Source organism: Homo sapiens, chromosome 1 (assembly GCF_000001405.40).
Source record: "Homo sapiens chromosome 1, GRCh38.p14 Primary Assembly".
Taxonomy (NCBI): domain Eukaryota; kingdom Metazoa; phylum Chordata; class Mammalia; order Primates; family Hominidae; genus Homo; species Homo sapiens.
Window position 1 is genome coordinate 227,380,290 of NC_000001.11, and position 12,820 is coordinate 227,393,109.

At 40.2% G+C, this 12,820-nt stretch overlaps 1 annotated feature.

Moving 5' to 3' along the window:
• Positions 8,548-9,308: an enhancer, noted in NCBI's record as "H3K27ac-H3K4me1 hESC enhancer chr1:227576538-227577298 (GRCh37/hg19 assembly coordinates)". NCBI's record gives its function as "activates a minimal SCP1, AML or CMV promoter by ChIP-STARR-seq in primed H9 embryonic stem cells {active_cell/tissue: H9 hESC(primed)}" and the evidence as "EXISTENCE:reporter gene assay evidence [ECO:0000049][PMID:30033119]".

Sequence of the window (12,820 nt, forward strand, 5' to 3'; positions counted from 1 at the left end):
GACTGATAATTTCTCCTAAATTAATGTCAGACACTGCAGATCCAGGAAACTCAGAGAACACCAAGCAGGATAGTGCCAAAACAAACAAACAAAACAAACAAACAAACAAAAAACAAAACCAACAACACCTAGGCACACCATATTGAAACCTCAGAAAATCAAATATGAATTTTAAAATCTCCAACAAAGCCAGAAGAAATAAACACCTTACCTATATAAAAGCAAAGATAAGAATTATATCTGACTTTTCCTCAGAAACCATGAAAGAAAAAAGAGAGTAAAGTGAAATATTTAAGCTATTGAGAGGAAAAAAATGAAACTAGAATTCTGTCTCCTGTGAAATTATCTTTCAAAAGTGAAGAAAAAAATAAAGATTTTTCATACAAATGAAAATTGAGGGAATTTATTGCCAGTTGACCTGTTCTGCAAGAAATATTGAAAGAAATATTAAAAATGTGAAGGAAAACGGTATAAGTCGGAAATTCAGGTCTGCAGAAAGAAAGAAAGAGCATCAAAGAAGAAATACATGAAGGTTGAATAAACTCTTATTTTTCTTATTCTTAATTGATCTAACAAATAACCATTTGTCCAAAGAATAATGGCAACAATATATTCAAGTACGGATGTGTGTGTGTGTGTGTGTGTGTGTGTGTGTGTGTGTGTGTGTGTTGATGCTTATATATAAATGAAATGAATGATAGCAACAATACAAGGAACAGGAAGAAGGAATTCAGATTATTTTGTTATAAACTACTCACTATCTGTGAAGCAGTATACTTTTATTTAAAGGTGGACTTAGGTTAGTGGTAAATTAATATTGCAAACTCTAGGGCAAACATTAAAACAAGTAAAAAAGAAGTATAACTGATATGCTAAGAAAGGAGAGAAAATGAAATCATTTTATAAAATGCTTGATTATAACCAAAAAAGACAAAAGTAGGAACAAAGAAAAGGGCAACAAGTAGAAAACAGTAACTAACATGGCAAATCTTTTTTTTTTTTTTTTTTTTGAGAGTCTTGCTCTGTTGTCAGGCTGGAGTGCAGTGGCGTGATCTTGGCTCACTGCAACCTCCGACTCCCTGGTTCAAGCAATTCTCTTGCCTCAGCCTCCCGAGCAGCTGGGATTACAGCCCACTTAATTTTTATATTTTTAGTAGAAACGGGGTTTCACCTTGTTGGCCAGGATGGTCTCAATCTCCTGACCTCGTGATCCGCCCGCCTCGGCCTCCCAAAGTGCTGGGATTACAGGCATGAGCCACCGCACCTGGCCTATGGTAAATCTTAATCCAACTATGTCAGTGATCACTTTGAAGATCAGTGGTACAAATATACCAATTAAAAGACAGAGATTGTCTGTGTGGGTCAAAGAACAAGATCCAACTATATAGTGTCTATAAGAAATCCACTTTAAATATAAAGACACATATAGATTAAAAGTAAATGGGTGACCAAATATTTAAGGAAGAAATCATACCAATTCTTTACAATCTTTTTCAGAAGACAGAAGCAGAGGGAATACTTCCTAACTCATACTGTGAAGCCAGTATCACCCTAAACCAAAATCAGAGTAGACATTACAAGAAAAGAAAACTACAGAACAATATCTCTCAGGAACACAGATACAAAAATCCTTCACAAAATATTAGCAAATCAAATTCAACAATGTAGAAAAGGAATTATACACTATAACCAGGTGGAATTTAACTCAGGTGTGCAAGGATGATTCAACATTTAAAAAATTCAACTAAAATCAACTAATGTAATCTATCATCTCAACAAGATAAAGAATAAAACTAACATTATCATATCAATAGATATAGCAAAAGCATTAGATAAAATCCAACACCCGTTCATGATAAAAACTCTCAGTAAACTAGGAACACAGAGGAATGTCCTCAAGTCCCTTCACAGGGACTACTAAAAAAAAAAAACAAAACAGCTAACATCGTACTTAATGGTGAGAAAATTAAGCTTTCCCACTAAGATCAGGATCAATACAAAGATGTCCGTCACCTATCGTTCATTGGTTTCTTTCTCCTTCATTTTTCTTCCCTCCCTCCCTCCCTTCCTCCCTCCCTTCCTTCCTTCCTTCCTTCCTTCCTTCATCTTTCTTTCTCTTGCTCTGTCATCCAGGCAAAAGTGCAGTGGTGCAAACCTGGTTCACTGCAGCCTCGACCTCCTGGGCTCAAGTGATCCTTCCATCTCAGCCTCTCAAGTAGCTAGGACCACAGGCACGCAACACCATGCCCAACTAATTTTAAAAGCTTTTTTTGGAAATATGGGTCTCCCATGCCCAGGCCAGTCTTGGACTCCTGGGCTCAAGTGATCCTCCTATCTCAGCCTCCCAAAGGGCTGAAATTACAGGCATGAGCCACTGCACCTAGCCATACTACCCCTTTCAACATTATACTGGAAGTCCTAGCTAATGCAATAAGATAAGGAAAGAAAATAAAAAGTGGAGTGATAGGAAGGAAGAAATGAAACTGTCTTTGTTGTAGATGATATGACTGCCTATGTAGAAAATCTGAAAGAATTGCCCCCAAACTCTTGGAATTAGCCAGGTGTGGTGGCTCATGCCTGTAGTCCCAGCTACTTGGAAGGCTGAGTTGGGGTGATCACTTGAGCCCAGGAGTTTGAGGCCAGCCTGGGCAACATAATGAGACCTTACCTCTTTTTTTTTTTTTGGACGGAGTCTTGCTCTGTCGCCCAGGCTGGAATGCAGTGACGCGACCTCGGCTCACTACAAGCTCCGCCTCCTAGGTTCACGCCATTCTCCTGCCTCAGTCTCCCAAGTAGCTGGGACTACAGGTGCCCGCCACCATGCCTGGCTAATTTTTTTGTATTTTTTAGTGGAGACGGGGTTTCACCGTGTTAGCCAGGATGGTCTCGATATCCTGACCTCGTGATCCGCCCACCTCGGCCTCCCAAAGTGCTAGGATTACAGGTGTGAGCCACTGCGCCCGGCACCCCCTCCCCACCTTTTTTTTTTTTTTTTTTAAAGGAGTCTCGCTCTGTCGCCCAGGCTGGAGTGCAGTGGCACGATCTCAGCTCACTGCAAGCTCCGCCTCCCAGATTCATGCCATTCTCCCGCCTCAGCCTCCCGAGTAGCTGGGACTACAGGCGCTCGCCCCTAAGCCTGTCTAATTTTGGTTTTGTATTTTTAGAAGAGATGGGGTTTCACCGTGTTAGCCAGGATGGTCTTGATCTCCTGACCTCGTGATCTGCCCGCCTCAGCCTCCCAAAGTGCTGGGATTACAGGCGTGAGCCACCGCACCCGGCCAGAGACCTTACCTCTTAAAACAAACAAATAACTGGGGGGCCAAAACGGGCAGATCACCTGAGTTTGAGAGTTTGAGACCAGACTGACCAACATGGACAAACTCCATCTCTACTGAAAATACAAAATTAGCCGAGTGTGGTGGCACATGCCTGTAATCCCACCTACTCAGGAGACTGGGGCAGGAGAATCGCTGGAACCCGGGAGGCGGAGGTTGTGGTGAGCCGAGATCGCGCCATTGCACTCCAGCCTGGGCAGCAAGAGCGAAAGTGTCTAAAAAAATAAAAAAATAAATAAAAATAAAAAATAAAGAAAACATTTAAAAAATAAATAAATAAAACAAAAACTCCCGGAATTGATATGCAATTATAACAAGATTGCAGGGTACAAGCTTAATAAACAAGTCAATTTTTTTCCTCTATACCAGCAAATAAGTGGAATTTGAAAATAAAAACACAATACTACTTACATTAGCACCCAAAAAATGCAACAATTAGTATAAATCTAATGGAACATATACAAGATCTATATGAGGAAAACTACAAAACTCTGTTGAAAGAAATCAAAGAATTAAATAAATGGAGAGATAGTCCGCATTAACGGAGAGGAAGACTCAATGTTGTCAAGATGTCAGTTTTTCCTAACTTGATCTATAAATTCAATGCAATCCTAATTTGTCATTGACAAAGTAGCAAAGGCAATGCAATGGAAAAAAAAATAATGTTTTCAACAAATGGTGCTGGAATAACTGGACATCGACAGGCAAAAAAATGTATTTAGACAAAGACCTTACACCCTACACAAAAATTAACTCAAAAACGGATCTAAATATAAAACACAAAACTATAAATTTCTAGAAGATAACATATGAGAAAATCTGATGACTTTGGGTTTGGAAATGACTTTTTAGATAAAATATCAAAGGCATAATCCATGAAAGAAAGAACCAATAAGCTGGACTTCACTAATATTAAAAATTTTGAAACATACTGTCAAGAGAAGGAAAAGCTAAGCCACAGATGGGGAGAAAACATTTGCAAAATAAGTATCTGATAAAAGGCTGTAATCCAAAATATAAAAATAACTCTTAAAAAGCAACAATAAAAAAAAAACAATTTAAAACTGGGCCAAAGATCTTAACAAACACCCCACAAAAGAAGATACAGAGACGGCAAATAAGCACATGAAAATCTCAGCATCATACCTCATCAGGAAATGCAAATTAAAACAAGACACCACTGCACATCTATTAGAATGGCCAAAACCCAGAACACTAACCCCACCAAATACTGATGAGGATGTGGAGCAACAGAAACGCTCACTCTTTGCTGGTAGGAATGCAAAATGGTTCAGCTACTTTGGAAGACAGTTTCGCAGTTTCTTGCAAAACTCAACATACTTGGCCGGGCGTGGTGGCTCATGCCTGTAATCCCAGCACTTGGGGAGGCCGAGGTGGGCAGATCACGAGGTCAGGAGATCGAGACCAGCCTGGCCAATATGGTGAAACTCCGTCTCCACTAAAAATACAAAAATTAGCCAGGCATGTTGGCACACGCCTGTAGTCCCAGCTACTCGGGAGGCTGAGGCAGAGAATCGCTTGAACCCAGGAGGTGGAGGTTGCAGTGACCTGAGATCAGGCCACTGCACTCCAGCCTGGGTGACAAAGCCAGGCTCCATCTCAAAAAACAAAAAAACAACAAAAAAAACCCTCAACATACTCTTAACATACAATCCAGCATTCACACTCCTTGGTATTTACCCAAGTGAGTTAAAAAAAAAAAATGTCCACACAAAACCTGCACGCAGGTGTTGATTTATTCATAGTTGCCAAAATTCAGAAGCAACTAAGATGTCCTTCAGTAGGTGAATGGATAAATAAACTGGTACATCCAGACAATGGGGTATTATTCAGCACTAGAAGGAAATGAGCTAACAAACCATGAAAAGACATGGAGGGAAGTTAAGTGCATGTTACTAAGTGAAAGAAGCCAATCTGAAAGGCTATATGCTGTCTAATTCCAACTGTGTGACATTTTGGAAAAGGCAAAATTATGGAGACAGTAAAAAGATCATTGGTGGCTAGGGGTTGGTGGGGAGGGAGGGGTAAGTAAATAGAAAACGGAAGATTTTTAGAGCAGTGGAATACTTTATATGACACTATAATGGCAGATACATGTCATTGTATCTTTGTCCAATCACATAGAATGTAGGACACCAAGAGTGAACCCTAATGTAAATGCAGGACTTTGGGTGAGAATGATGTGTCAGTGTAGGTTGATCAGTTGTAACAAATGCACCACTACAATGGAAGGTGTGGAAATGCACTGGGAGAAGCTATGCATATGTAGGGGCAGGTTTATATGGGAAATCTCTGTACCTTCCACTCAATTTTGCTGTGCTAAAACTGCTCTAAAAAATAAAGTTTATTTTTTAAAACATACAAGGCATACACTGAGAGAAAATATTTTCAAATCACATATCCAACAAAGGACATATATCCATTTTCTAAAAAAAAAAAACAAAAACAAAAACAAAAAACAAAAAACACCTTTCTAAACTCTACAATTAGAAAAATATCAAATTAGAAAATAGTGGTCAGGCACAGTGGCTCTTGCCCATAATCTCAGTACTTTGGGAGGCCAAGGTGGGAGGCTCATTTGAGCCCAGGAGTTTGAGACTAGCCTAGATAATATAGTGAGACCTCACAAAAAATTAAAAGATTAGCTGAACATGATGACACATGCCTGTGGTCCCAGCTACTTGGGAGGCTGAGGTAGGAGGATCACTTGAGCCTGGGAAGTGCAGGCTGCACTGAGCTGAGATCGTGCCACTGCACTCCAGCCTGGGTGACAGACTGAGACCCTATCTCAAAAAAAAAAAAAAAAAAAAAAAAAAAAAAAAATATATATATATATATATATATATATATATATATATGTATATAAAGACTTGGATATTTCACTAAAGAAGGTATATGAATAGCTAAAAAAGCATATGAGAAGATGTTTGACATCATTAGTCATTAGAGAATTGCAAATTAAAAGCACTATCTCCTACACATCTTGTAGAAGAGCTAAAATACAAAACAATGATAATATGAATGCTGGTGAGATTGTGGAGAAACTGGATCTCTCATACATTGTTGATGGGAATATAAAATGGTACAACTACTTTGGAAAACAGTTTGGGAATTTTTTATAAAGTTAAACATATACCTTAAAACCTTGATACCAGGCCAGGTGTGATGGTCACGCCTGTAATCCCAGCACTTCAGGAGGCTGAAGAAGGCAGATCACTTGAGGCCAGGAGTTTGAGAGCAGCCTGGCCAACAAGGCAAAACCCTGTCTCTACTAAAAACACAAAAATGTGTTGGGTGTGATGGTGCGTGCCTGTAATCCCAGCTACTCAGGAGGCTGAGGCACAAGAATCACCTGCGCCCGGTAGATGGAAGGTTGCAGTGAGCAAGGTTGTGCCACTGCACTCCAGCGTGGGCGATGAAGCAAGAACCTGTCTCAAAAAAACAAAAACAAAAACAAAAAACCTTGATACTACTCTTGAGTATTTACCCTAAAAGAAATGAAAATTTATGTTCACTGAAAAACCTGTATATGAATGTTTACAGTAGTTCTATTTGTAATCATCAAACACTGGATAGTCCATTCTCACACTGCTATAAAGAACCACCTGAGACTGGGTAACTTATCAAGAAAAAAGGTTTACTTGGCTCACAGTTCTGTACAGGTAGCATGGCTGCAGGGGCTTCAAGAAACTTTCAATCATGACAGAAAGGGAAGGGGAAGCAACCACGTCCTATGTGGCTGGAGCGGGAGGAAGAGAGGGAAGGAGGAGGTGTCACACACTTTTAAACAACCAGATCTCGTGAGAACTCACTCACTATCACGAGAACAGCAAGGGGGAAATCTGCCCCCTGATCCAATCACCACCTACGAGGCCCCTTCTCCAACACTGGGGATTACTTTTGACATGAAATTTGGGCAGGAGCACAAATCCAAACCATATCACAACCTAAACATCCTTCACTGGGAAAAGGGATATACAAACTGTGGTACATCCATACCATGGAATACTGCTTAGTAAGAAAAGGGAAAGGACAATTGAAAGGCACTCCAACAGGAATGCATCTCAAATGCATCATGATAAGTGAAAGAACCAGAAAGACTCATATCATTAGATTCTGTTTATATAACATTCTGGAAAAGGCAGAACTATAGCAATAGAAAATAAATCAGTGGGCCAGGCGCAGTGGCTCACGCCTGCACTTTGGGAGGCCGAGGCAGGCGGATCACTTGAGGCCAGGAGTTTGAGACCAGCCTGGCCAACATGGCAAAACCCCGTCTGTACTAAGAATACGAAAATTAGCCGGGTGTGGTGGTGGGCTACTGTAATCCCAGCTACTCAGAAGGCTGAGGGAGGAGAATCACTTGAACCCGGGAGGCAGAGGTTGCAGTGAGCCGAGATCGCACCACTGCACTCCAGCCTGGGTGACAGAGCAAGACACCATCTCAAAAAAAAAAAAAAAATCACCATATTCATGTCGCCTATGTTATTTCTACACTGGGCAGCGTTGGTACAGACTACTAAGTGCATTTTCTTCATTAGTCCTGAAATAAATGGAGATGAGACAGAAGTTATTTCCTCCATTTTATTCAGGACTTAATCTAGGTGTACCTAGTCAAAGGCAAGTGCCTGTAAGCAGAACCTTTACCTTTGAACAACCTATTTTGTGAGTGTTAAGTTGCAGTTCAAAACAGGGTGAAAAGCCTCGAAAATGTGAACCACTGTGGACTACAAAGAATGCCAGATTTGATCGGTCCTATAAAAGTGATTTATTATACATATGTATGTGTGCATATGATTCATAAGCATTTTCAGCCTGTTGAAAACGAAAACACATTTTAAACATATGAAAATCAGCAGAAATAAAAATGGATCGGGAAATAACATACTAGATTTGTGGCTTTATGTAAATAAAAAAAGAGAAATTACTTAAACAAATCCATCCTGTGTAAATACAAAGTTAACAAGAAAAGCCAGCTCTAATTTACCCTATGTTTGCACTTCTAGAGTCACAAGCATTTTATTTTTTGTTTTGTCTTGGAATTTGTTCCCTTATATAATGCATGTCAAAATAGCTGGAAAAATATGATTAACTACTGCCAGCTGAAATTCTTGTCCCACAAAGACAACTCCCTCCTGGCTCCTAATTTTCTTTTCATATTTTGGGCACTGTGAGATAATGGTTGGAGCACAGGCAGGAAGGCAGTGTGGCTCTACAGGAGAGAGAATTCCAGGTTGGGCCTTCTAACTTTGCAGCTATCATTAATTTACTAAGTCCTCCTGGCAGAGCCTCTTAAAGACTGACTGTGGTCTCACACAGGGTGTGGTCAGCAGGAATTTTGCCATAGGCTAGGTTTCCACAGGAGCTCAATCTTGCTAAAGTGTAATTTGGGTGCTAAAGGAAGAAGGAAAAGTAAACCAAAATACTTTCCATAGACCTAGGCATGACACTAACACCTTTGCTTTTATTACCTCATCCACAAAAGCAGGATGGCATTATATACATTCAAGAGCCTACCTTGAGAAGGTTTTAAACAAATATGCGACACATTCTTATCCTACTTCCACCAAATGTGCTGTTTTAGGTACCTAACAACTCCTCAATTTCCCAGTAAGTTATCTACGATGAGGTTCATAAACATGATCAGAAAGTTTCTTTGGTAGGCTAGGTGTGGTGGCTCAGACCTGTAATCCCAGAACTTTGGGAGACTGAGGTGGGAAGATTGCTTGAGCCCAGGAGTTTAAGATCAGCCTGGGCAACATAGGGAGACCCCATCTCTATTTAAAAAATAAAAATAACAATAATAAAAGTTTCTTTGATAGAAGACCCTCTTAGGAAGGAATACGTTCAAAATGGCTAACATAGTGTTGCCACCTGCGTACTCTGAAAAATTGTTTAAATTGAGTTCTTTAGATGACTAATACTAAATAATACGAACGGGCGTTTGTGAAACAATTATGGGAATAAGTGAAATAATTCTAAAAGTCCTTTAGTCTTTAGGGTGCTAAGTAAATCTTGAGATTTTGACAACCCCCTTCCCTATTTCTCAGATATTGTCCTTTCTTGCTCGTACTAGATTCCTTTTTTTTTTTTTTTTTTGAGACAGGGTCTCACTCTGTAAACCAGGCTGGAATGCAGTAGTGCTATCACAGCTCACGGCAGCCTCAACCTCCCGGGCTCAACCTCAGCCTCCCAAGCAGCAGGGATTACAGGCACACACCATAATGCCCAGCAAACTTTTAAAAAAATTTTGTAGAGACTGGGTCTCATTATGCTGCCCAGGCTGATCTAGAAATCCTGGCCTCAAGTGACCCGCCCACCTTGGCCTTCCAAAGTGCTGAGATTATAGGTGTGAGCCACTGCTCCCAGACCATTTTTCCACCTTAAATCAATCAATTGATTAATATTTATAGAACATTTACAATATAACTGGCAGTGGAATAGGCAACAGGGAGGATCCAGAAGATATGGAATGCATGGTCCTTACACTCAAGAAGTTTATAATCTATTTAGCAAAATCTAAGATTCAAAATAGCAGCAAACACCATACACCTAGGCATTAGACATTTATACCCTGGTGCTTTACCAACACAGTCAGATTCTGAGCAAGAAAGATGGGTGAAGATCAGAGTGCTTAGGAAAATCTTTAGGAATCTCATCTTTCTCCTGAGGAGAAAAGTGGGGAAAGAGGAATGTAAGGCATGGAATCTTGAAGGCTGGAGACTTGAGGACAAAAATGTCATTTCTCACTGAGCAGCAGGCCATCTAGAATTATGTAACCAAGTTGAATGGGACAAGACAAGTGAATTTATCAAAATGGGGTGCCTAAAACCATGCTGTACAATGTGGCAGCTGTTAGTCATATGTGGCTATTTAAATATAAATTAATTAAAGTTCAATAAAATTAAAATTTTACTTCTTCAGTCTCACTAGCCACATGTAGGTGGCCAATTGCCATATGTGGCTAGTGGTACCATATTGGATAGTGCAGATATAAAACGTTTCCATCATTACAGAAAGTTCTCTTGGACAATGAAGTTCTAGAACCACAGAAGTGTTGAGCAACAGGCAGAAAGGCATGGCTCAAAAGAATTCCCCAAGCCAACTGGCATGCTGGGGTTTCTGGCTTACACATGATTTCCATGACCACAAGTTGTGCAAAATGTGAAAGGGGTCTAATTAATTTAACAAATACACATTGAGCACCTACTAATACAAGAAGGCTAGGTGATATGAGAGACACAAAAGTAAAGCAGGTTCGAGTCTCAAAGAACTGGACATGAAGAGAGGAAATAAAGGCCTGTACATGAATAACAATAGTGCCAAATAAAAAGTGATAAGCAACCCTGTCTGTACTAAAAATACAAAATTAGCTGGGCGTGGTAGCACATGCCTGTAATCCCAGCTATTCAGGAGGCTGAGGCAGGAGAATCGCTTGAACCCGGGAAGCAGAGGTTGCAGGGAGCCGAGATCGCGCCATTGCACTTCAGCATGGGCAAAAAAACCGAAACTCCGTCTCAAAAATAAACAAACAAACAAACAAACAAACAAATAAATAAAGGGATAAGCATCCGAGGGGCTGCAATTCAAGCATGCAGGTGCTGAACGAAAGGACAGATTACTTCTGTTTGAAGGTTTCAAGAAGACTTCTTAGATAGGCATTATTTGAACTAAACCTTGAAGAAAGCAGTGGGGTGCGGTGGAAAGATCCCAGGGGACCAGGAGTCCAGAGATTATCTCTAGGCTCAGTTATGTCCTAATTAACTGTGTGATCTTAGGTAAGTCAGGCTCCAGGCCCCACTGTCTTTATCAATTGGGTAACAGAAGCAAAGAGGAACTAAATGTCCAGGCCGGGAGACCAATAAAAGCAAAAGCACAGGGATAGATTGATAAGTGTAGAGGAAATCAAATAGTCTACTTAATAATGAAGTGTAGCCATAGTACAGCTATCTTATAACTTGTACCTGGGCATTATATAATTCTTGAACAACCCCAAAAACGTGTATATAAAAATGAAAAGTCACCATCACAAAAAACAAAAGCTAGATTTTGGTAATGTCTTGATAGTTTAGATCAGATATGAGAAGCAAAGCAGATAGAATGGAAGTGATTGTATTTGCATTTAAATATGGTTGTGAAGTGGAGCTGGAGAATAACTACTATTTTGGTTCCCTTTGGGAAAAGGCTGTCATTCATGAAATTATGAGCAAGTGCCACACTTCAGGAAACAATAAATAAAATTACAGGACATTTCTGAGGGGGAAGAAAAGCAAGCTAGAATTTGAAGCTGAGAAATCACTATCGAACAGGTGGTTAAAAGGATAAAGCTGACATGAAAAGAGTAAAGCCAAGAACTTGGGAGTTAAAATGAAATGTAGATCGTATGTGGAATGTGGAGCCCCTTGTTAAAAAGCAGACAGAAAAATAGTGCATAAAATACCAGCTCAGCAGGTTTGTCGATCTTTATCTCTGGAGCGAACATGAATATACATAGAGAAATATTTGCATTTTGCAGCTGTACCAAAGCATCTGTCAGTAGCTCCATTATCATTTTCTTGTGTATATATTTTCATATCCACATAGAAACATTTGAGTAGGTAAAAATATATGCTCTGTGTGTTCAAATATACTAAAATATTTACTTAATGGTTAGCATTAAAAGTTCCTAGTAATTGTTTTTCTAACCCCACAGCTTCCTACTAGCTAAGGGCACATTTCTTAGTTCTTCCTTTTTTTCTCTAAAATCCTGAAAATAAGATCCAATATAGCCAGGTGCAGTGGCTCATGCCTGTAATCCCAGCACTTTGGGAGGGTGAGGCGGACGGATCACCTGAGGTCAGGGGTTTGAGACTAGCCTGGCCAACATGGTGAAACTCCATTTCTACTAAAACTGCAAAAATTAGCCAGGCGTGGCGGGTGCCTGTAATTCCAGCTACATGGGAGGCTGAGGCAGGAGAATCGCTTGAACCCGGGAGGCAGAGGTTGCAGTTAGCCGAGATCACGCCACCGCATTCCAGCTTGGGTGACAGAGTGAGACTCTGTCTCAAAAAAAAAAAAAAAAATCCAATATAGCTAAGAGAAGACACATAGCTATTATAAATAGAGATATGTGATCACCTACCCATCCAAGTTTTAAAAATAGTCTTAAGTGCTATTCCCTCGAAGATCTGTAGAATTTGCTTTAAAAATAAATATCGGTTGGGCATGATGGCTCACATCCGTAATCCCAGAACTTTGAGAGGCTGAGGTGGAAGGATGGCTTGAGGTCAGGAGTTCAAGACCAGCCTGGGCAACATAGTAAGACCCGCCCCCCCACCCCATCTCTCCAAAAACATTTTTAAAAAATTGACCAGGCATGCTAGTACATGCCTGTAGTTTCAGCTCCTTGGGAGACTGAGGCAGGCAGATTGCTTGAGCCTGGGATTTCGAGGCTTCAGTGAGTTATGATGGCACCACTGCACCCA